The 25,726-nt window shown below is 37.0% G+C and overlaps 1 protein-coding gene across 2 annotated transcripts in view; it reads right to left on the reverse strand.

Annotated features, from left to right (window-relative positions):
* RAD54B (RAD54 homolog B) overlaps positions 1 to 25,726 on the reverse strand; it is a 103,156-nt gene that overhangs the window by 1,402 nt on the left and 76,028 nt on the right. For both annotated transcript variants that reach the window (NM_012415.3, NM_001205263.2), the window contains 6 exons: positions 20,382 to 20,521; positions 18,248 to 18,538; positions 13,623 to 13,798; positions 6,784 to 7,045; positions 5,207 to 5,273; positions 4,819 to 5,019 (listed from right to left, as the gene is read on the reverse strand). In NM_012415.3, the coding sequence (NP_036547.1) occupies positions 4,819 to 5,019; positions 5,207 to 5,273; positions 6,784 to 7,045; positions 13,623 to 13,798; positions 18,248 to 18,538; positions 20,382 to 20,521 (1,137 nt within the window). The remainder of the gene's footprint in view (positions 1 to 4,818; positions 5,020 to 5,206; positions 5,274 to 6,783; positions 7,046 to 13,622; positions 13,799 to 18,247; positions 18,539 to 20,381; positions 20,522 to 25,726) is intronic.

The raw sequence follows: 25,726 nt of genomic DNA on the forward strand, positions 1-25,726 counted from the left end.
ACCTTTTCCAGCCTCCCTTACGGTTAGATATTGCCACTGAGTCTGGCCTTATGGAATGCAGCTATGTCACTTCCAGGTCTGAACTATAAACATCCTTCAAACTGAACAATTTTCTACTTTATCTCTTCTCTCACTGCTGGCTGGCAGATGCAGGGTATCCCAGCAGAGGACTCTAAGGTCCAAATGGATGGAAGAGCTCCAAGTGAAAGAACCCTGGATCACGAAATTACCTTATGAAAGGCTGTCCACTAAATGCCCACAATGACCTGTTACACAAATGAGAAACATATTTCTATTGTGTTAGACCATTGTGCTTTTTTAGTTTCTTGTTACAGCAATTAGACTGCCCTGACTAACTTATCAATTTAGAGATTTTAGTATCTATCCTAAGAGCAATAGGAAGCTATTGGAGGTTTTATTTTTTTAACCTTTTAATTATGGGAAATTTCAAATAAATATAATAAATATATAGCATGTATCATTTCACTTATAAATATTTCATTCTACATTTCTAAAAGATAAACACTTCTTTGAAATTTTATCACACCTAAAAGAAAAGCCTCAAGTCATTCCTTAATATCATCAAATTCTTGTCAGTGTTCATAATCATTGAGGTTTTAAGAAAAGAGATGACAAGGCCGGGCGCAGTGGCTCACGCCTGTAATCCCAGCACTTCGGGAGGCCAAGGCGGGCAGATCACGAGGTCAGGTGATCGAGACCATCCTGGCTAACACAGTGTAACCCCGTCTCTACTAAAAACACAAAAAATTAGCCAGACGTGGTGGCAGGCGCCTGTAGTCCCAGCTACTCGGGAGGCTGAGGCAGGAGAATGGCGTTAACCCGGGAGGCGGAGCTGGCAGTGAGCCGAGATAGCGCCACTGCACACTAGCCTGGGTGACAGAGCAAGACTCCGTCTCAAAAAAAAAAAAGAAAAGAGATGACAAGATTGCTTCCAAAATTAGAAGACAATAGAATAATACCTGCAAAGTACTAACCAAAAAACCTCTGGCTAACCAAGAGTTCGCCAGTATTAGGCCCTCGTTAAAAAATGAAAAGACAGTAGAAATAAATAAAAATACCTTAATAATGATAAATGCAAACAAACTAAATGTTCTCACTGAAACAAAATATTAGACTGGACAAAAAATAAAACCCAGCTTTATGCTATTGACAAGAGATACCTAAAACATAAGAACACAGAGAAATTTAAGGTAAACAGATGGGAAAAGATAGACCAGACAAACCCTAATGATAAGAAAACTAGTGTAATATGTTAAGACAAAATGAAAGCAAAAGGCATTCGGGATAAGGCGATCACTACATAACAATAAAATAGAGAAACCATAATGAAAAAAATATTTCACAAGGAAGATATAAAATATATGAAGCAGAAAATGACAAAATAACAATTTTCTCTAATCCACTGTCACAGTTTCATATTTTAATATATTTATTTGAATAATAGATATATCTAACAAAAAATTAGGTTGTTAATGTTTTAAATGGGCAAACAATATGAAGAGATGGTTCACATAAAGAACTATGGTTTTTAAACTTAGGAAAATGCTCAACTTCATTCGTAATAAGAGAATAGCAAATTAAAACTATACCAATATATTATTTTCTTACTATCAGATTGGCAAATATACAAACATTTGATAATCCACTAAACTGGCAAGGCTATGGGAAAATAGACATTCTAGTGTATTTCTGGGAGTGTGTAAATTGACACAACATCCAACAAAGGGCATTTTGGCAATATCTATCAAAATTACAAATGTACACATTCTCTGACTCAGCAATACTAAAAATTTACCTTATAGGTATACTTGAAGATATTCAAAATGATACATGAATAAAATACACACTTATGGGAAATAACCTAATTGTACATCTATGGATGATATGGTTTGGCAGTGTCCCCACCCAAATCTCATCTTGCAGCTCCCATATTTCCCACGTGTTGTGGGAAGGACCCGGTGGGAGATGATTGAATCATGGGGGCAGGTCTTTCCTGTGCTGTTCTTGTGATAATGAATGGGTCTCACGAGATCTGATGGTTTTAAAAATGGGAATTGCCCTGCACAAGCTCTCTTTTTGCCTGCCACCATCCATGTAAGATCTGATTTGCTCCTCCTTGCCTTCTGCCATTAATGTGAGGCCTCCCCAGCTATGTGGAACTGTGAGTCTAATTAAACTTCTTTTTTTTGTAAATCGCCCAGTCTCAGGTATGCCTTTATCAGCAGCGTGAAAACAGACTAATATAGTGGGGGATAAATTATGATATATCTATACACTGGAAGATTATACAGCTGAGGAAGAAAAAGAATGAGGAAACTCTGTAACAATACGGAAAGATCTCAAGATACGCTACTGAGTGAAAAAGGTACAGAAATATAATATGCTATAATTTATTGGGAGGAAAACTGGGCAAGAATATATATCTAGAGTGGCTTATATATGCATACATATATATCTGGAAGGATACACAAAAAAACTAATAGTGGTGGTTTCTTTTGATGTAGAAGGCTAGAAATTAGGGAGATAAGGGTAGAGTAGGAGGTAGAGTAGGAGGTAGAGTAGGAGGAAGAGTTTTCACCATGTACATTTTATATTTTTAAATAATTGAGTCATGTAAATATATTACCGATTCAAAAGTTAAATTAGTCATTTTTGAAATCTATAAAAGAAAAAATGGATTACATAACAAAATCTGGCTAATATGACAGAATTCTACACTAGGCAATTAAGAGGATATACACGATTTCCATGCACAAAACAAACATTTACAAAAAATGACCACACACTAGACCATACCCCAAGTCTCTATAATTACCAAAGAATCCATATCATGTAGTTCTATTTCTGACTACAGAGCATTAGCCAGAGTTCAGTAACAAAAACTAAAATACATTTTAAAACATACTTTTAAATAACTCATGAGACAAAGAAGAAATCATAATGAAAAAACAAAATATTTAGAACTGAATAATGAAAGACTGTATATCAAAATTATGGGCAGCTTAGAGGAAAATGTATAGTCTTAAATATCCACTTCTTTGAAAAGAAGACTGAAAAATCATTAAGCTAAGTATTAAACTTAAATATTGGAAAAAGAACATTAGAGTAAATACAAGGAAAAAGGAGAAAAGAAGAGAAATTATTAAAACAGGAAAAAATTTAATAGGGAGGATAAAGTGTTAATTAATATTTTTAATTACCAAAATGGCTATGAAGAAAATCTGAAAACATTTCTATGAAGTTTAAATTCTACCCACTAAAAAATAAAAATATATACATATTTTAACTACCATAAATATTATATATTGTTATAATTATATATTGTGCATGATTATATTTATTATATTTAGTTATTAGTTATATATTTATATATGACATATAACTAATAAATATAATCATATATAATTTATATGACAAATAACTAATAAACTAATAAGCTTCTATTGTACCTAAAGAGAAACATTTATATAAAGAAACATTTCCATAGAAGAGAAACATTTATATAAAATATATTTATGTTTATATAAAATCTAAATTCTTCCATCTCAGTCTTATATAGTCTAACTTCTTCAACCTATCTTAATATAATTCATCAAGTAACTTTCAGCTACTAGACATTGATTGCTCAAGTCCTACTCCTGATCTAGTTCCTTTTTGAATGGTGTCTATTCTGGAGGGTAAATTTTCAGCTTTACTTAAGCAGCACTAGCACTTACATCAAGTACTGAGAAGTATGGTGACCTATGCTTCTAAGTGCCTCAGAAAATATGACCCCATTATGAATAAATTCTGTACAACATAAACAACAGGATTATTCTGTCAACTGTATGTTTTTTTGCGAAAGAGAAATAGGGATTAAAACCATTTTTCTGGCTGGATGCGGTGGCTCACACCTGTAATCCCAGCACTTTGAGAGGCTGAGGCGGGCAGATCGCTGGAGCCCAGGAGTTCGAGACCAGTGTGGGCAACATGAAGAAATCTCGTCTCTACAAAAAATACAAAAATTAGCCAGGTGTGGTGGTGCACACCTGTAGTCCCAGCTACTCAGGAGGCTGAAGCTGGAAGACTGCTTGAACCCAGGAGGCGGAGGTTGCAGTGAGCCATGATTGCACCACTGCACTCCAGCCTGGGCAACAGAGCAACAGAGCCAGACCCTGTCTTGGAAAAAAAAAAAAAAAAAAAAAAAAAAAAAAAAAAAACTCTAACTCCAAAGCCATTACACCAGGACTTGAAAGATTTTCCTAAATAAGTTCAATTTTTCACAAGTGATTCAGAAATAAAAAGCTAAAATTCAGAGAATAAGAGTCTACTGGGCCGGGCGCGGTGGCTCACGCCTGTAATCCCAGCACTTTGGGAGGCCGAGGCGGGCGGATCACGAGGTCAGGAGATCGAGACCATCCTGGCTAACACGGTGAAACCCCGTCTCTACTAAAAATACAAAAAATTAGCCGGGCGTGGTAGCGGGCGCCTGTAGTCCCAGCTACTCGGGAGGCTGAGGCAGGAGAATGGCGTGAACCCGGGAGGCGGAGCTTGCAGTGAGCCGAGATCGCGCCACTGCACTCCAGCCTGGGCGACAGAGCGAGACTCCGTCTCAAAAAAAAAAAAAAAAAAAAAAAAGATTCTACTGAATATTTTCTCAAATATCTCTATCTGGCAGCTGCCCTATGAGCTGAGAAAAAAATAAAACTAACATATGCAAATGGTAAATATTATAAAGTTATTCTTTAAATATTTTCAACTGCTAACAAGAAATAAATTAACTTTACTACATAGTAACAGAATTAAAATATAACTAACCTGTATGAACTTCTTCTCCTGTACACTCACAGTCAAGCAGATCATGAGTAACACAATCTGAACTTTCATGTAATGTGAACAAATTTTTAAGTTCTTCTACTGAAAACTGAATATGTTCAGATGTCTTGGTGAGGTCGACAACTGCCCCACAAAGACCTTGCTTACTGATCTGCCTTTGATAGATCTTTTCTTCTATTGTACCTAAAGAGAAAACATTAATTAGATTTCCTTCAGATCTTTATGTTCATTATTTTTGTTGGGTATAATGTTTAGTAACATACTAGTTAATAAAATAACAATATATTCCTGACACTGAAGCACAGGCTAACAAAAAATAATTTTAATTATTCAAAGAGTATACATTTTTGTCACACTGAAGGGTTGTTACCTGTAGTTAGGAGTCTGTAAATATGTACAGGATATTTCTGACCATCTCTCCATACTCTAGACATTGCCTATAGAAAATAAGTGAGAATTCTGAGAGTACAGTAGAAACTAATGGCCCCTTCCACACATGCAATTTGCAGAAATATGTTTTAAAATTCGGAATTCTATATTTTACATACAGCTTCAGAAAACAAATCTCAGGTGTGTGAAGCATGCCCTACTTCATAGCTTTTTCTTGGCAGAAAGAAAGGGATGAGTGAACACTTACTATGGTACTGTAAAATAACTACAAGAGTATCATGCAAGAGTGAGAGAATAGATCTTCATCAATGGGACAGTGAGTATGGACAGCAAGAATGGAAAGAACCAAGTGTAGCATGGGCTTGGAGGTTCATTCTCAGTCCAAATAGCTAAAGATTTGCCCCTGAGAACTACCTAGGATACATGTAATCAGCTAAGGCTCTAGGTGGATCCCTGTGGTTTAAAGATTTATCAATGATACTGTGCATTAAAGTGTTGATGTTCAAACCCTGCACATTTCAAATAAAAATCTGGCCTTCAACCAACTTCTAAGAGATCATCTCTAGGCCTTTGGAATGTCCTGCCTGATATGAGTGTCTGTTTACCAGACACTTGGGCCACACCAGATAGTTTATGCTAACAATGTTATATGGTGGGGCCTTGGATCATGTAGTTTGATTTCTGGAGGCTAAAGACTGATTAACTAAGGTCAGTCATGCAGGTGTTCCATGACTACAGAACTGACCCCAAACAAAATTCTGGACACCAAGACGTGGATGAACTTCCCTGGTGGACAATATTCTATATGCACTGTCACTCACCAATGCCGACAGAATTAAGTGTTGTCCATAAAACTCCACTGGCAGAGAACAACTGGAAGCTTGTGCCTGGTCTCTCTTGGACTCTGCCCTGGACTCAGTACCTTTTCCTTACCGCTTTGAGTATTCTTTACTATAATGTAACATAACTGTGAGTATAGCTGCTTTTCTCAGTTGAGTCCTTCTAGTGAATCATTAAACCTGAGGGTTGTCTTGGGATCCCCCAATGCACATACCAACTGAGGTGCAAACCTACAGGTAGAAAACTCAAGATACAAAAAGATGGGCTGTACTCTAAAGAAAACCAAAGGCTTCTCAAACATTTTCCTAAATATGTTACTTTTATACCCTTACTATAGCCTGCATAAACACTAATCATAGCATCTGTAACTTTATTGTCTTCACCTGATGGTCATGAACACCCTAAAGGCCAACTCTGCAGTAAACTAGAACCTGGAGACATACAGGTTTAGGTCTGAATCCTGGCTCTGCATCTTACAAGCTGTGGGATCTAGAACAAGCTTCTATATCTTCATCTGTAAAATGGGACTACTAATATCCATCCTTGTAGGCTTGTTAGGAGGATTAAACAGATGGAAAGCACTTAGGAGAGTGCCTCACGCAAAATAAGGGCTCTTTATGCAGTGGATATTATATATCATCATTATCTTTGTATCCTCAATAGGCATTGTATCCTCAGGCATTCAATAATATCTATTTAATGCATAAATATTCCTACCTGAATGTCAGTGGCTGGATTCCAATCAATGTCATAGAGAATTAAGTGAGATCCTCCAATGAGGTTAAGTCCTACACCACCAGCTTTTGAACTTAACAAAAAAATAAAAAAAGAAGAGTGTTGACTGTTAAAGCCATCAACAATCTGCTGCCTTTGAGAGATTGGTGTTTGTCCATCAAGTCTTGTATAAGCATATCCATGACGCTTACATACTTCTTGTAAAATGTTCAAGGTTTGTGTATAGTTGGATACCAACACCACCCTGTCAATCAAAAAGAAAGATTCTTTAGATAAATTTAAAGGCAGCATTAGATTTTCTTAGTTGAAAGAAAATACCACAATAATATTATCACTGACATTGAGAGAACATGCAACAATGACCTTGTACAATTAAAACATAGGTATTCCTGCATATTCCATTTTAAAGTCAATATCTAAACTTCCAGTTTTAAGACAGTGCGGCAAAGACCTTTCTGCCTTCTTCATCTCTCTGAGGTTCACTCTAAAAACAGCAAGAGAATGAGCAAAATACAAAAATGAACAGAAACTAACTCTGAAGATATTTGAAAACAAAAACCATAGTGAAGCAGTCACCTGCTTAGGAGTATACATAAGGTGATGCCTACATGCCCAAAGAGGGAGATTCCAGTAAGAAACAAATGAAAGTTCATTTGCACCACAGAATCTTGCTAAGGTACCTGAGAAGGAAGGAATTTAGACTGGAACTATTACAACATTGGTACGTAGAACCCAGGCCCTGCTCCCATGTGATCAGTTGACTTTTCTTTCCCAAATAAAGTATTTATTATCTGGAGAAAATAAACCAAAGAAACTTAGACCAGGGAACTGACTGTAGAAGGCAGGAGAGCCAATGTAGTGGCTTATGCCTGTAGCCCCTGCTACTCAGGAGGCTGAAACAGGAAGATAACTTGAATCCAAGAGTTTCAGTCCAGCCTGGACAATAGAGCAAGGCCCTGTCTTTTAAAAAAAAAAATGTGTTAATGAAAGTCTAGATACTGAATAAGATCCCTCTACCCTTTTCCTGCCAACTACTAGAATACCAGCAGCCAGGCACCCCATATGCCAGCCCAAGGAAGATACTACTAAAGGATTCATCTATGGAAAGACTTAAATGATTCCACAGAAAAGATCCACAGATAGGGAGTCCCCAAATTTAAAAGCTAGCTTGCTGCCTGATTACCCAATGATGATTATTAGTCAACGAGCCCTGCCTATCCATACAGTGTTCAATTAATGTTTTACTGCTTCACTCTTAACTGTGGACACCAGGGAACACCAGCTATTTGAAGTGAGCTTCAACATGAAAAGGAAAAATCAAAATAAACAAACCTGAATTAAACAAAGCAATGAAAAAAAACAGAAGAAAACTTTCCGAAAATAATTTATGTCCTCAAACAAGAGCTATCTATCCTTCAATGGAAGAGGATGCAATTTTTCAAAAGGAACAATCAAGAATTAGAAAAATATCTTAGAAATGTAAAATGATAGACAAAGTTTTAACAGGAGAGCTGGAAGATAATAGTACGAGAGTTTGACAGGAAATACATTAAGAAGAAAAAGTGATGACCAATAGGAGAGAAAAAAAAGAATTAGAGAATCAATTCATGAGGTTCAATATCTGACTGACAGGAATTCCAAAGAAAACAAGAAATTGTTTTAAGAGAAAGGCCGGGCGCGGTGGCTCAAGCCTGTAATCCCAGCACTTCAGGAGGCCGAGGTGGGCGGATCACAAGGTCAGAAGATAGAGACCATCCTGGCTAACACGGTGAAACCCCGTCTCTACTAAAAATACAAAAAAATTAGTCGGGCATGGTGGTGGGCGCCTGTAGTCCCAGCTACTCCGGAGGCTGAAGCAGGAGAATGGCGTGAACCTGGGAGGCGGAGCTTGCAGTGAGCCGAGATCGCGCCACTGCACTCCAGCCTGGGCGACAGAGCAAGACTCCCTCTCAAAAAAAAAAAAAAAAAGAGAGCGAGAAAGGATATCTCCCAGACATGGAGTCTTCAGATAAAAAGGACCTACTAAAAAGTTCCCAGCTCAATTAATGAGGACTCATATTAAGGTATATCAAGATTATAACTCAAAGTATGAAGAATGAATAAAAGTTGATCAATTTTTGATGAAGAAAAATAGGTCATATGCAAATGAATCGAAATTTGAAAATCATCGGACTTCTCAAAAGCAACTAAAAACTAGAAAACAACATGTAAAGCAATGTCTTCAAAATTCTAGGGGAATACTATTTTGATCTAGAAGTTTATGACAAGGGAAGTTGTCAGTCAAGTGCTAGTGTAGAATAAAGACAGTTTCAGATGTACAAGAAGTCAAAAAGATTAATCTCCCATCTTTCTTAGGAAACTACTGTGAGATGTGCTCCAGCAAAATGTGAAATTCAGAAAACAGAAAATCCAACACAGAAGAGGAAAAAAATGAATTTATAAGTTAATATGATTTGGCTCTGTGTCTCCACCCAAATCTCATCTCGAATTACAATCTCCAGAACCCCCATTTGTTCAGGGAGGGACCAGGTGGGAGGTGACTAAATCACGGGGGCGGTTTCCTGCATGCTGTTCTCGTGATAGGGAGTGAGTTCTCACGAGATCTGCTGGTTTTATAAGGCAGTTTTCCCTGCTCTTGCTAGCTCTCTCTTTCCTGCTACTCTGTGAAGAAGGTCTTTGCTTCCCCTTTGCCTTCTGCCATGATTATAAGTTTCCTGAGGCCTTCCCAGCCATGTGGAACTGTGAGTCAATTAAACCTCTTTCCTTTATAAATTACCCAGTCTCAGGTATTTCTTTATAGCAGTGTGAAAACGGACTAATGCATAGGTGATGGCTTTTTAAAAGTCCCAGGATGCCGGGCACTGTGGCTCACACCTGTAATCCCAGCACTTTGGGAGGCCAAGGGGGGTGGGTCACCTGAGGTCAGGAGTTTGAGACCAACCTGGGCAACATGGTGAAACTCCATCTCTACTAAAAATAAAAAAAATTAGCATCCCCCTGTAATTTCAGCTACTCGAGAGGCCAAAGCACGAGAATTGCTTGAACCCAGGAAGCAGAGGTTGGAGTGAGCTGAGATCACGCCACTGCACTCCAGCTTGGGCAACAGAGCAAGACTCCATCTCAAAAAAAAAAAAAAAAAAAGCCCCAAGATGACAGCTATGTAGCAAGATTAGAGATCAGTTCAAATTGTAGCAGGAAGACAGAGGACTCACAGAGGAAAGACAAAGAAAATACAGAGGCACCTAGAGACCACAGTGGTACCCCATTATCTGCAGATCTGCTTTCCACTGTTTCAGTTACCTGCGGTCAACCTCGGTTCAAAAATATTACACACAGTAAGGTATTTTGAGAAAGAAAGAGAGGATGCACATTCACATAACTTTCACTACAGTATACTGTTATGATTGTTCTATTATTAGTTATTGTTGTTAATCTCTTACTGTGCCTAATTTATAACTTTATCACTGGTATGAATATACATGAAAAAACAAAATCCATATAGGGCTTGGTAGTATCTGTGGTTTCAGGCATCCATTCCTGGTCTTGGAAGGTATTCCCAAGGATAAGATGGGGATTCCCAAGGATAAGATAGCCAAAAAGCACATTAAAAGGTGCTCGATATCACTAATCATTAGAGAAATGCAAATCAAAACTACAATGATATCCCACCTCCCATCCACTAGGATGACTATTATCAAAAAAATAGAAAGTAACAAAGTTGGTAAGGAGATAGAGCAATTTGAACCCTGTGCACTGTTGGTGGAAATGAAAATGGTGCAGTCCTCTATGAAAAACAGTATGGCAGTACTTCAAAATATTAAAAATAGAATTACCATATGATGCAACAATTCCACTTCTGGATTTATATCCAAAAGAATTTAATGGGTGCAGCAAACCAACATGGCACATGTATACATATGTAACAAACCTGCACATTGTGCACATGTACCCTAGAACTTAGAATATAATAAAAATATATCTATAAATTAAAAAAAAAGAATTCAAAGCAGGGTTTTGAAAAGTTATTTGCACACCCATGTTCACAGCAACATTATTCACAAGAGCCAAAAAGTAGAGACAACCCAAGTGTTCAGCAATAGATGAATGGATAAACAAAATGTGGTATATACATACAATGGAATATTGTTTAGCCTTAAAAAGGAAGGAAATTCTGACACATGCTACAACATGGATAAACCTGGAGGACATTATGTTAAGTGAAATTGGTCAGTAAAATAAAGAAAGAAAAACTATATGATTCCATTTATATGAGGTATCTGGAATAGTCAGAGTCAGAGAGTAGAAGGGTAGTCCAGGTGTTAAGGGAGGGGAAAATAAGGAGTTGGTGTTTAATAGATTTCAGTTTTGTTTGCAAAACTGAAATAGTATTTCAGTTTTGTTTGCAAGATGCAAAGAGTTCTGAACATTGGTTGCACCAGGATGTGAATGTACTTAACACTACAGAATTATACATAAAAAAATGGTTAAAATGGTAACTCTATGTTATGTCTATATTACCACAATTTTTTTTTAAAGAAAAGGCGATCTCTTCAGATAATGTGAAGCAACAGAACAAAGACCCAGCCTGTGCCACTTATGAAAGTGTAGCTTCTCCTTCAATGCAACATGGCAGGGTTTAGGTTTCTTAAGGACCCACAAGGAGTCAAATGACCATCACACCTATAATCCCAACACTTTGGGAGACTGAGGTACGCAGATTGCTTGAACTCAGGAGTTAAGAGACCAGCCTGGGCAACATGGTGAAACACCGTCTCTACAAAAATACAAAAATTAGCAGGGCTTGATAGCACATTCCTGTAATCCCAGCTACATGGGAAGCTGAAGTGGGAGGATCACTTGGGCCTGGGAGGTCAAGGCTGCAGTGGGCTGAGGTCACACCACTGCACTCCGGCCTGTGCCCCAGAGTGAGACCCTATCTCAAGATAAAGAGAAAAGACCACCCCAACTTCAATCCCCAAATATTACTTTTATTTTTCTTAATCATTATATTTTTCTTCATTCCTTTCTTCCTTCTTGCCACAAGAGGGAAACTTTCCCCTATGACATCTTCAAAGATAAATTCTCACATCTATATTCAAACTGTATCTCTTCTCATTTCTTCCAAAACTCTTTTCACTCATTATCCTTTGTCCAATGACAGCCACCTATCCCGCCCACCCTTCAGAGAAAAAAAAAAGTCCAGTTAAAAAAAAAAAGATAATAAGATATGAATAGAAGCTAAAGTGAAAGTTTGCACTCTTAAACTGGGTCACAATCTGCATATGTACATCTCACATGCCCTTTTGCACATAGCAAATATTATCTAATAAAACATGTGAGAAGAGCTCCATTAGAGGTAGGTACAGGATGCTATGGAGTACAGAGGAGGGGAGTCTAACTCAATCTGAGATAGGAGAAAGCATGAGAGCTGAGTCTTGTTGTTGTTGTTGTTATTTTGTAGAAAAGGGGTCTCACTCTATCACCTAGGCTGGCCTCCGATGCCTGGCCTCGAGCAATCCTCCCACCTTGGTCTCCCAGAGTGCTGGGATTATAGGTATAAACAATTGCACTTGGTCTGTTGAGCTGAGGCTTAACAAAGAGAAAAAGTTGGCCAGAAGAATGAGAAGCAGAGGTAAGCCAGCCACAGAAACCTGCAACATGTAAGAGCAGAGCAGAAGTGGGGCAAATTACAGGCTCTGCAGGTGGTTTGGTATGACTGGACCACATGGTATGTGTGAAGGAGTGATGAGAGATGAGGCTGGAAAAGGAGGCATTAACCATGTCATGAAGGGTCCTGCCTAATGTGCTAAAGAATTTAGAAATTTCTGGAAGACAAGTGGGAGTCTTCAAATGATTTTTTAAGAAAAGGAGTGACAAGTTCATATTTATATTTTAGAAATATAATTCAGGGCAATGTTGAGTATGTCAGGGGGCTGAAAGTAAGAGGGAAGTAGCTTATAAGAGATCATCATAACCCAAATCAGTAATTTTAAGAATCAAAACAAAAATCTTGGTACCAGAAAAATGAGGATGGATTCTTGAAATTAAAAAATAAAATCAATAGAATTTAGTGACTGACACTGTGGGATAAATAAAGAAGAAAAGTGAGTCTATAATAATTTCCAGGGTTTTTGCTTGCATTATGGTACCAAGGAATAATGGGACAAGATGAGGCTTACAATAACAAAATGATGGTTTTGTCACATGGTTTTGGACCTGGGAAGTTTGAAGTACTATAGGACATCAAGATAGATTTAGATGTCCATTCAACACTTAAAAATAAAGATGTAGAAATTAGAAGAGAGGACTGAACTAGAGATATAAATTTGTTTCAATATTATATGTGTTTGGTATCCAAGAAGATATAAAATATATATAGTCATCACACACACACACTGGACCACATGGTATGGTTGTGTGTGTGTGTGTGTGCATGTGTGTGTGCAATAGTTGAAAGTACAGGGAGTATAGCACTCAGGAAGTGTGTTAAGAGTGAGAAAGTTAAAGAGAAAATCCTAAGGTGTATCAGTATTTAAGAAACAGTAAAAGAAGAAAGGATTCTGAAGAAAATTGAGAAACAAGCATTATATATCAGAAAATATCACTAGGTTTTTAAAAGTATACATATGTTTAGTTTTTCTTAAAACTTACAGACACATTGTTAATTACAAGTTTATGAAATACTAGAAGCTAACCATATTCCCAAAGAAGAAAATAACTTATTTTTAATGTTTTCTTATTTTAAAAGGGAAGTAGGAAGTAAAGAAATAGTGCAAACTAAAACTCTATGAGCACTTATAAGTTTGTTAAATCGATCTTACTTTTCAGTAGGTCGAAGTTCGTGGATAACCGCTAAGAGCTTGGACAACACCTGTAGTTTTCCTGACTCCTTTTCAGTAAACAGGAGAGGGTTGTAGTCAGCAGGAAACACACTTAGCAAGCCTTTGTATAGACTCTTTTCTTCATTTTTATCACAAGTTGAGCTACATTCCTTTTCCTATTCAAAATGATGATTGTTAATGCTGGCTCAAGTTTGTTTTTTTAATTAGGAGGGGAAAATGCTAAAATTATGGAAGGAAAAAGGTGAAGATTAACGGCTATCTGAAAAGTCCAAGAAACTGTTAGGTAAATCTTTATAGGTCATGATTTGATCATTTTTTAAAAAAGTAACATGCCTTCTACTGAGTTAGTTACAGAGCAGTTCTAACGCAGTCTCATGCCTGCTACCTTCACCCTGCAAGTGTAGTATTAATATTTCCCACATGTAACTACAGGAAGTAGGAGCAGACAAAGAAAGGAGAGAGAAATAAAGGGCAAATGGTGATACAAAATCCATCCTCTCCAAAACCCTAACATTTTGCATCTTTGATACATCTTTTTCTCTTTTCCTCTCTCCTTCCCTCCCTGTTAGTATTCTCTACTGAATTGTGGGCTTCATACAACACCTTTACATCCAAAAACAAGCACTATCGTTTACTTAATCTTACCAGTTTCTTCTGTAAGAAGGAAGAATTTCACCAATAAATTAACAGAGAAATTTATTCTTACTTACAACAATACTTTTTATTTCACCAATAGTTGTAGAATAAATTTATTCCAAGGTGATTATCAGCACCTCTGAAATTCCCCCTCCAAAACTGCCTAGCTGATATGTGAACATATAACTAGAGATCAGAGATATTCATGACTACATCACTTTTTGGGTTAAATTCCTAGGATTGGCAGGTCTCTTAACTCTCTCCCATATTTACCAGATTTATCACTGTTTTTGAAACTTTGTTCAACCTAAACCCCTTGTCTGGAATACTTTTTTATTTTGCTGCTCAATTATCCCAATCCTATAAACACTTGAGGACCCAGTGCAAATTATACCTGATTATTCATAGCCTTTGTTTGCACTGAGTTTTAACCTTTATGGTTACACAGTACATTTCAGGTTTGACTTTATCTAATTGAGCAGTTAATGATATGCAGTTGACCCTTGAACACATGGGTTTGAACTACGCAAGTCTACTTATATGCAGATTTTCTCCCATCTCTGCCACCACCCCTGATACAGCAAGGCCAACCCCTCCTCTGCCTCCTCTCCTCTTAGCCTACTCAATGTGAAGAGCTTTGTGAGGATCTACTTCCACTTACTGAATAATAAATATATTTTCTCTTCTTCATTCTTTTCTTAATAACATTTTCTTTTTATAGCTTACTTTAGTGTAAAAATACAGTATATAATATACAAAATATGTGTGAACTGACTTAATGCTACTGGTAAGGCTTCTGGTCAACAGTAGGCTATTCGTAGTTCAGTTTTGGGGGAGTCAAAAGTCATACAAGTTATAAAGGGATTTTCAACAGCACACACAGGGGTCAGCCCCCCTAACCCCAGGGTTGTTTAAGATCGAATGACTTTTTTTTATACTTCACAAATGTTTTCCTGTGTGTTGCACCCCCTCTTTAGTAATACTAGAAACACTTTAAGGGCAGTGAATCCTATGTGAAATGTATAAAAATGCTGGGCACAGAGTACTAATTTTAATTTGGCTTACTGTCAAAATACAGCAATATTTAGGTGTAGTCATTTGATTAAAAATACTAGGAACTCTAAAATATTTCTATCACTGGGACATATGAGGAGAAAGAAGTAGCTGCTGGCTGCTTTAGGTTAGCTCTGCCTACAACTTGGAAAGATCATCAAAGGACCACAGGCCCAGGGTCTAGTATACAGTTTTTCATCTTCAGAAACTTGAATATGCTTAAGCTCTAGGGAAATTATTCATATTAACCAAATTAAGAGACTGAATAAGTCAGAATGAAAATGTATTGACCTATGAGACCTGCCTATTTAGACCAATCAGTCTATGCACGTGCATTCTGTCCTATGAAAGAACGTCCCCAGGGAAAGTCAAACCACTAACAGAAGGTGTCTGGTGAATATTAAATCAGAGTACAGGGAGATGGGTGATCTTTTCTTTTTTTAAAGAGACAGGGCCTCATTATGTTGCCCAGACTGGTCTCGAACTCTTGGCCTCAAGCAATTCTCCCACCTCAGCCTCGCAAAGTGCTGGGATTATAGGCGTGAGCCACCGCCCTGGCCAAGACGGGCGATCTTAATGCACAAGTTCTTAACCAAGAACACGTATTAGAATCACTTGAAAAGGCTTTTTTAAAAATGCTCATGCCTGGGTCCTACTCTCAAACAAACTCTGAATTAATCCATATGTGTTGAGGCCTGGACTAATGTAATTTTAAGAGCTTCCCAGGATATTATAATATGTACCACTAATTAATAATTGACCAATAGATAATATCTTTATACTGTGACAGCCTGATGCAGCATCTCCATCATAGAGATTTACCAGTTTGACTTCTCATCTCAAGCTAATCGCGACACTATCTCTTCTGACTCCATGTACACTTCAATTATGAGTTATGATATTGTTACTGGTTACGTTCCACTCACATTTCCTAAAGAAAGACCTAACATCTTAATTGAACTTGGGAAACAATTTAGTTTCAATAGAAACATAGTTACAAGCCATTGCTTAAAGGTTATTTATACATGTAGAAGGCTCATTTCTGCCCTTTTATATCAATCCTTATTTGCTATGAAGTTAGAGAAAAGGCTTTTCTGAATAAATATCAGACTATAAATTATGTACCCTATTTGAAGTATCCTATGCCTATTATTAGTGACTGCATGGCAACAATGGAGAAACACTCAGAGCCCCCTGCTGCTTTCTTCAAGAATGTACAAACATATTCTAAATTAACTGGTATACTCTGGGCCATCATAAGGTCTTCCTTTTAATGAAGAAATTTTTGGCTATTTTTACCGTGCTTCATGCCCAAAGGGTTTGATTTTTATCACTGTATATAGAATCAGTTTTTTTTAAGTTGCGGCTGGGCGCAGTGGCTCACACCTGTAATCTCAGCACTTTGGGAGGCTGAGGTGGGAGGATCACTTGAGCTCAGGAGTTCGAGACCAGCCTGGGCAATAGAGTGAGACCCCATCTCTATTTTTTAAAAAATAAATATTTTTAAAAAAAATAAATAAAAAGGGCCAGGTGCGGTGGCTCAAGCCTGTAATCCCAGCACTTTGGGAGGTCGAGGCAGGCAGATCACCTGAGGTCAGGAGTTCGAGACCAGCCTGGCCAACATGGTAAAACCCCGTCTCTACTAAAAATACAAAAATTAGCTGGGTGTGGTGGCAGGCGCCTGTAATCCCAGCTACTCGGGAGGCTGAGGCAGGAGAATCGCTTGAACGTGGGAGGTGGAGGTTGCAGTGAGCCAAGATCATGCCATTGCACTCCAGCCTGGGGGACAAGAACAAGACTTCATCTCAAAAAATAAATAAATAAACAAATAAATAAACAGCATCACTAAGTTTCTCCAGAATAAGATTATATATATATAGATTATATATAGAGATTTTATATATAATATATATACATATATACATATATATCTGAGCCCCTATTTCCTCACCAAAAAAATGGGGATGGTAATACTAGTACTTATTCCAGAGTTTTGTAAATAATAAATAAAATAACACTAATAAAGCACTTAGTGATTGGTACAGGTTGACCATCCTTTATCCAAAATACTTGGGAACAGAAGTGGTTCAGATTTCAGATTTTTTCAGATTTTGGAATATTTGCATCTTGGGCATGGGCTGCAAGTCTAAACACGAAATTCATTTATATTTCATATATACCTTATACACATAGCCTGAAGGTAATTTTATACAGTATTTTTAATAACTTTGTGCATGAAACAAAGTCTGTGCGCACTTAACATCAGAAAGCAAAGATGTCAGGTATGGAATTTCCCACCTGTGATGTCATGTTGGCACTCAAAAAGTTTTGAATTTTGGAGCATTTTGAATTTCTAATTTCCAGATTAGGAATGCTCAACCTGTATATAATTAGTGCTTAATAACTGTTAGCTAATATTATTAATACCAAAATGTGATTTTCCATGGGTTGAGCTTAAGATGATTTTTATTTTCTTTGTGATTTTCTGAATTTTCTAAATTTTATGCACAATCATGTATCACTTTCAAAATGAGAAAAAAATAAATTATTTTTAATGGCACATTTTGTATTTGTCAGCACCAAACAAACAAAACTGACAGACTATATTAACATAAAATAGGAAGGGAGACGATCGCCAAGTATTAGATAAGGTGCCAAAGGGGATTGGGCACAAACTATAGAAGGCAGTACCTCAAACTCATCTCTTCCCTACTTCAGCTCTAGGAGTGTGGACATGCTCTGAAGAACAAATGAAAGGCTGGATAAGCTCTACAGCAGAACCATACTAGATAGCCAGCAGAGCTTTTTGAAAACCCACAAATGCAACCTCAGAAATTAGCCCTGTCTGCCCTCTTAGATTCATATACTATAGAACCCTCATATCCCTGACACAGTTTCAGATACTATGCACTTACCTTTATAGAGTTGAACAAAAGGCAGGGGTGATTGCACAGTTTTTTAAGAGCTCCTATACATATTAGATGGGGACTATTTTCCAACAACCCTTGAAGGCAGAACCTGACAACCTGAGAATTTAACAGCTTTCGATAAAGCTCAATCTGTAGTGCTCCTGGTCGGCAAAAGACAACATTCTCTATTTTAGGTGGGAGATATTTATTTATAATTTCTTGGGTTCTTCTAAGGATAAAGAGTCCAGTGAGGCAAGTAAGTTCAGCTGCTCTTCTTTCTCCTAACTCCTTTTCTTCCTATGGAAAAATAGCAGACTTAAATGAAAGTGTTATAGACAAAAATACACTTAAAATGAACATTAAAGATTTCATAATGATAAACCATTTACTCATTGCTTCCCAACAAATTTTAAAAGAAATAAAATATGAGTATAGGGACAGAAAAACCAACCATGATCTATTTATATGTTTAGCATAACCATTTAATTAAGTGAAGTCACAGTCTCCTAAATAACAAAATAATGATATATCCTATAATTGGTAGAATCTTAGAGTCAATGAAATATAGTCTGTATACAACACGTAGACCATAATTTAACCATTGTCCTACCTTTAAAAATGTTTGTTTCCCATTTGTGTTTCCTTTAGTTTGCTTCTTTTTTGTTGTTGTTGTTTTTGAGACAGAGTCCTGCTCTATCACCCAGGCTGGAGTGCAGTGGCACGATCTCGGCTCACTGCAACCTCCACCTCCCGGGTTCAAGGGAACCTCTTGCCTCAGCCTCCTGAGTAGCTGGGATTACAGGCACACACCACTATATCTGGCGAATTTTTATATTTTTAGTAAAGATGGGGTTTCACCATGTCGGCCAGGCTGATCTTAAACTCCTGACATCAAGTGATCCACCTGCCTCAGCCTCCCAAAGTGCTGGGATTACAGGCATGAGCCACTGTGCCCAGCCAGTTTCTAATTTTTTACCCTTACAGCTAAGTTTTTATTTCGTTTTATTTTTTTGAAACAGAGTCTCACTCTGTCGCCCAGGGCTGGAGTGCAGTGATGTGATCTCAGCTCACTACAACCTCCACCTCCCAGGCTCAAGCAATCCTCCCACCTCAGCCTCCCAAGTAGCTGGGACCACAGGTACATGCCACCACACCTGGCTGATTTTTTTTTTTTTTTTTTTTTTTGGTAGACATAAGGTCACCCTATACCCTATAGCTAAGTTTTTAATTTTTTAGTTTTGTTTTTTTTTTTTGAGATGGAGTTTCACTCTGTCACCAGGCTAAAGTGCAGTGGCATGATCTCAGCTCACTGCAACCTCTGCCTCCCGGGTTCAAGTGATTCTCCTGAGTAGCTGGGACTACAGGCATGTGCCACCATGCCCAGCTAATTTTTGTATTTTTAGTAGAGACGGGGTTTCACCATGTTGGCCAGGATGGTCTCGATCTCTTGACCTAGTGATCCACCCACCTCAGCCTCCCAAAGTGCTGGGATTACAGGAATGAGCCACCACACCCAGCCAGCTAAGTTTTTAAATAAATGTACTTTTTTTTATAATAAATTCATAAAAGGAGTATTGCCAGGCCACAAGATATACACAATTTTAATGCTTTTGATATACATTGCCAAACTTTCCCCAAGTTGTGCCAACGTACATTCCAACCAACAATTTACATTCCAAATAGGAGACTCTTGTCTACACTTGCTACTACTAGTAAATCCAAGTTGGGGAGGTGGTATACACCTGCAGTCCCAGCTACTCGGGAGGCTGAGGCAAAAGGATACTCCAGGAGTTCAAGGCCAGACTGGGCAACGCAGAGTGACACCATCTCTAAATAAACAAACACACACCAATAGAAAAGTACAAAAGTCACTTTGGTTATTTTGTTCTACTTTTTTCAAAACTAGTAAAGATGAACATTTTTATATGTTTATTGTCATAATTCTTTGTGAAGTTCCTATTCATGAATTTTAGACAAGTGATGTCATATTCTAAAATAAGGAATGCAAGAAACGAAGGATTGTGGAGAAAAATAAAGAGTTCACACTATTGATTTTTCTAAATCAAAATAATATGAAGTTATGGATGATTTCCTCAGACATACGGCTTTTTAAAAACCTATTTATTAGAGTAAATTATACCTCAGAAGCAGAAGGTTCTCTCGATAAAATGATGGGTTCTTCATATATTTTCCTATAAGATGACAAAGAGCCTAATATTCCTGGATTTACAAAATCAATTAATGCAAAAAATTCTTGCAGATCATTCTGAATTGGAGTACCTAAAGAGAGACAAAAATGAGTAAAAGGTCAAGTTTGTGTTTTACAATCACAATCTCAGGTTTATAGCAAAACCACAATGGAAGTTTGGAGAAATTTATTCCCTAAAAGGAATAAATACAAGCAAATTGCCTAAAACTAAGAAAGAGCAGTCAAAGCAAGTTAAAACATATTAATCACCACATAAACTTTTAACTCTGGTTTTAATTGCATACTAAGTTCTTACATAGTAGTATAGCATAGAGACTGAGTGCAGGCTCAGTGGAGTCTGACTGCTTAGGTTCAAATCCTACCTGCATCACTTACTCCCTGAGTGACCCTGAGAAAGTTATTTACACCAGTTTATTTTCTGTAAAATGCAGATAATAACAGTCGTTCCTAGGGTTGTGAGGATCAAAGTAGTCAATCCATATAATATACTTTGAATGGTGCCTACAGCATAATAAATGTTCTATAACTTTAGTAATTTTACTGTTATTATAGCTGTGTGACTTTGGACAAACTGCTTAAGTCCTTTAAACTCAGAATTTTTTTTTTCATTTATAAACGTATAAAGATAATAAATTCCCAGAATAATTATAATGGAAAGTAGAGACAATGGATATGAAGTACCCAGCAAAATGCCTGACACTCAGTAGACACTCATTGAATGGCACCTATTATTACTACCTTTCAAAGTTATCAGATCAAATTAAGATCTTCACCATCCAAAGGGTTAATACAGACTGTAATGGATTCATATACCTTCTATATATTACATATAGTATGCAATAGCTTTAGGCTAATTTTCAAAGAAACATTAGCATGTTTCAATAATTATAATAGTGCCAAAAGAACATATAAATCAGCACAAACAATGTAATATCAGATGGCTTTCAAATAAGAGATTAGAAAATGTTGTCCAAAGATATAAATAATGTGAAAAGTAAATAAAAATGCATTTATTTCATTAAGATAGATGACATAACTTTTTTAATGTCAAGGAATTTAATAATCACCTCCCTAAAACTTAATGGGTCCTCCCCACCCCCAGGTTGGACCAGCAATTGCTAATTTTTTTAAATTTAACACATCTAGTCAGTTTTAAATTTTTAGACACATCATTGAAAGAGTTGGGAAAAATACATTTATGTTGGTATATATTCAGTTAAGCCTCTAAAAGAATATGCATGATGATGACAAAGATTGGGGAGTATAGGAAAGACGAGAAAGAACGGTAGAAGGATCACTGTGGTTGGCTTTCAGACATTCATCAAACCCCAAATGATTAAGTCAATCATGGTAATTCTGTCCCCTCCTTTGCAAATGACTGACATACTCAAGGGTTCTTGTCTCATACTGCGTTCACTGGAAGCAGAGCCTAAGACAGTGATTTGTTTGCATGTGATTTACAGAGGGAGAGCTCTCAGGAGAAAGGGAATAATGGAATCAGAAAATGGTAGGGGAAGAAACTAAGCAAGAATGGCCTCAGCTATAATTTAGCTTGAGCTAAATTACAGGGAGCTCTAGAGCATAAACTGCACCATAACGTTGGTCCTGAAATCACTCTAAGGCAAGGGAGCTGCCATTTGCTGCTTACCCCTAAATCAGTCAGTCGTTGATTGCAAACTATAGAGGAGAATACAGCTCTCATTCAATCAAAGATAATTCTCCAGAAAAGGAAGGGGTTCTAAGTTGTTTAATCAATAGTACCAGCAGCTAAAGGATGGATACAACAGCCCAGAAAAGGAGAGCTAGAAAGGGCACCAAGAAGTTCCATCAGTAGCATGTGACTCATCCTGGCCAATGAGACATGAGAAGTCATCACAGAGGGGCTTTGAGGAAAGTCCCTCTTAAACACAGAGAAACAAGAAGAGCCAGTCCTGTTCTCCTTTGGATATCATCACATCTAGCTGTGATGTCTGGAACTGCTGCAGTCACTTGCTACCAGCCTGAGGATGAAGCCAACACCAAATATGGCAGAGCAGAAGACATAACCAGAATCCTTGATGACAACGTTGGGTTGTTGTAGCCTGGCCTACCTTTAGACTTCCAGTTATATGGGGGAATAAGCACATCTGATTCAGATCATCTGTTACCAGCATCTGAAATCATCCCAACTGATATACAAAGGGAAGAGGCAAGAACAAAACTGGACAAAAGAAGAAAAGCAGAACACAAGAAGGGAATAGGAAAAAGGATTTAGGGCAGAAAAGAAGAAGGAAAAAGAGTAAGGAAGGGGGGAAAAAGATGAGAAGGGGAATATGGCTACAAGACAGAACCAATTGTATAGTATAGCATCATTGTAAGAGTTTGTCACATTGCTTTCTAGTGGTAATTTAGATCCCCATTTGCTATTTCAGTGCTCTAATTCTAGACTAGGTAAAACCTGTAGAAGAAAAAAAAAAAACTAAAGATTTTCAAGTCAAGTTGGTGTACTTACTAAGACTATTTTCAAGAGTATGGGAAAGAAACTTCTGAGAAAATGAAAGGACTCTTTCTTTTCCCTACCTCCACCCTATCCCTACAAAAAAAAAAAAGCTTTTTCTTTGTTTTTTGGTTTGTTTTTTTAAAAAAGAAATAAATCTACCACCCAACCCAACACTGTCAATAACCTACACCTATATCCTCCTGTAACCTCCACAGAAAGCTCTGAGAGCTTTTTATACACATTTATATTTTTCCTTTTAATCCTATAAGCCCACTTCTAGGAATCTATACACAAAGAGTATATGCTTGTAGATATTCATCACCACATTATTTATAACAGTAAAGAATTAATCTCAGATTTATCTTTTCTATGATATAATGAAAGGGCATTGAAGATCTTATAATAATCATTCAGCTCTTAATTGTGGGCTGAACTGTATCTCCCTAAAATTCCTATGTTGAAGCTCTAACCCCCAATGTGACTGTTTTTGGAGATAGGACCTTTAAGAAGGCAGTTAAGGTTAAATGAGGTCCTAAGGATGGGGCCCTAATCCAATATGACTGGTGTCCTTCTAAGAAGAGAGAGAGATACTCCACGAATACATTTGCAGAGAGGATAGAGTACATGAGGACATAGGGAGAAGGCAGCTCTCTGCAAGCCAAGCAGGGAGACCTCAATAGAAACCAAACCTGCTGACATCTTGATCTTGGACTTCCAGTCTCGAGAACTGTGAGAAAATAAATGTCTGTTGTTTAGTCTGTGGTCTTTTGCTATGGCAGTGCTACAAGACTAATACCCCTCTATCAATCAAACTGAATCCTAACCATTTTCCAGTAAATATTAACTCCACAGCACTGGGCTAGATAATATGAGGAAACAAAATCAAAATTATTTTCATTTGATTCTTAGTTATTGAGCACCTATCATGTATATATCACTGTACATACTCCTATACAAACATGTACTTTCATAATAAGGAACAAATCATCTTGGGGTAAAACGTCCTGCCCATAAAAGCAAAGACTTCATTCAGGCAATTCTAAGAATACAGAAACCAACTATGAGTATTTCTAAATTAAAAAGGTTAGTTAGGGCTAGTTTTTACCTAAATTCATAGCTCAGGGGATAAGAGTGATAAGGACAGCAAAACAGAAACAAGCTAAGATTGACAAAGGATACAGAGGACAATACTAATGCCTCAAATGAAACAATCTCACTGGTTGCTATCAAGACATTCTTGTTGAATGAAATCCTAGATCAATTTTCTACTGCAGATTAAATTTAATTTGGAATGTTAAATTAGTATTTGCTTATCATTGAGTATATCAATAAAATTATATATTTTTGCTACAGAAAATTATGATTTTCAAGTGAGGAAGGGAACTACTTTTATTTCTTATCTTCAGTACTTTTCAGTATATTTTATTTCTCACTCTTCTTTTTTATTTATTTTTCTTCTCCCTTCTAGTGCTAAACATTTTTACTTTATATCTGCAACTATTCTTTAAATAAGCAATACTGACCCCCATCCTTAAGCAGTAAGAAGAAACAGTCTTTTTCTCTTCTAACTCAGTGTTACTAAATTCAGCTAACTCATTTTTTTTTTCATTACTTTTCTGGCTCCAGTGATCTCAAGATCAAAGGCCAGTAAAGAAATCTGAACTGCAGCACTGGAAATCAAGTATAACGAATCCACTCAGCTTCTCAAACAGCCAAAGATATGAAAATCATTCAGAGTATGGTTCCTATTTCCCTGACTCATTTTTTCCTTTAAAAATGGCATTTTATAAATATTCAACACTAGTTTTCCTATTCTTTGGTTTCCACTTCACTATTACTGACAAACATTCATTGGGCATCCAGAAAATCTTGGGGGTATAACTATGAAATTTGACCCTAGTCCTTTTGTCTTTATCATCGTGATTAAATTCAAAAAATAAAAAGGTCATTTAGCATTTCCCAAAATCATTTTTTTAAAGCACAGATCATTTTAAAAATCGCTTTTGATAATGGTTAATACAATCCTCCTATACAAATTGGAAGTCAAATCATGAGGAATTTCTTAAAGGTGGATAGTCTTCCCCACCCCAACACAGTAAGAACAGAAGAGGAGGAGTTTTCTCCTCTCTGTTGTTCTGGGGCATATTTCCACCCTATCAGTATAGGAAGGAGGTACAAGTTTTTGGTCATACTCCTTCTCTCTCTTCATTTAACTTCAGAGAGCTGTGACATGCATAAACGACACATGAAGGAAAAAATGACGATGACACAGTAAGAATAATCATATCCTGACCATTCCTTCCAAAAGGGCTGAAGATGGTAGGGAAAATGAAGCCCCAAGTAGAAAATAGGGGAATTGTAAATATTAGTAATGAATACAATTCTCTTCTTTATTCTGCTGACACAACGGCAAAGTGGAAGGGCCATACAAGACCAAGATGAGATATGGGAGAAAAGCTACATTGAGCTACTTAGATCATACTCCAGTCTAGGCCTTAAATAAAAAGGTAGAAGAGGATTCTCGTATTTACCATCCATTCCACCTTTCCAGACAGTTGGGTCCAGAAGCTCTGTCCAACAATAAACCATGCATATGTAGCATATACATATAAAAATAACTGATATTTATATTAAACACTTACCACATGTCAGGTAGTTATAAATAACTGATATTAAACACTTACCACGTGTCAGGTAGTTTCCCAAGAACTTTACATTGATTAACTCCTCTGACCCTCATGAGAACTCTACAAAGTTAGATGGTATTATCATTCCTATTTTAGAGATTTAAAAAAAC

The sequence above is a fragment of the Homo sapiens genome, chromosome 8 (assembly GCF_000001405.40).
Source record: "Homo sapiens chromosome 8, GRCh38.p14 Primary Assembly".
Classification (NCBI taxonomy): Eukaryota; Metazoa; Chordata; class Mammalia; order Primates; family Hominidae; genus Homo; species Homo sapiens.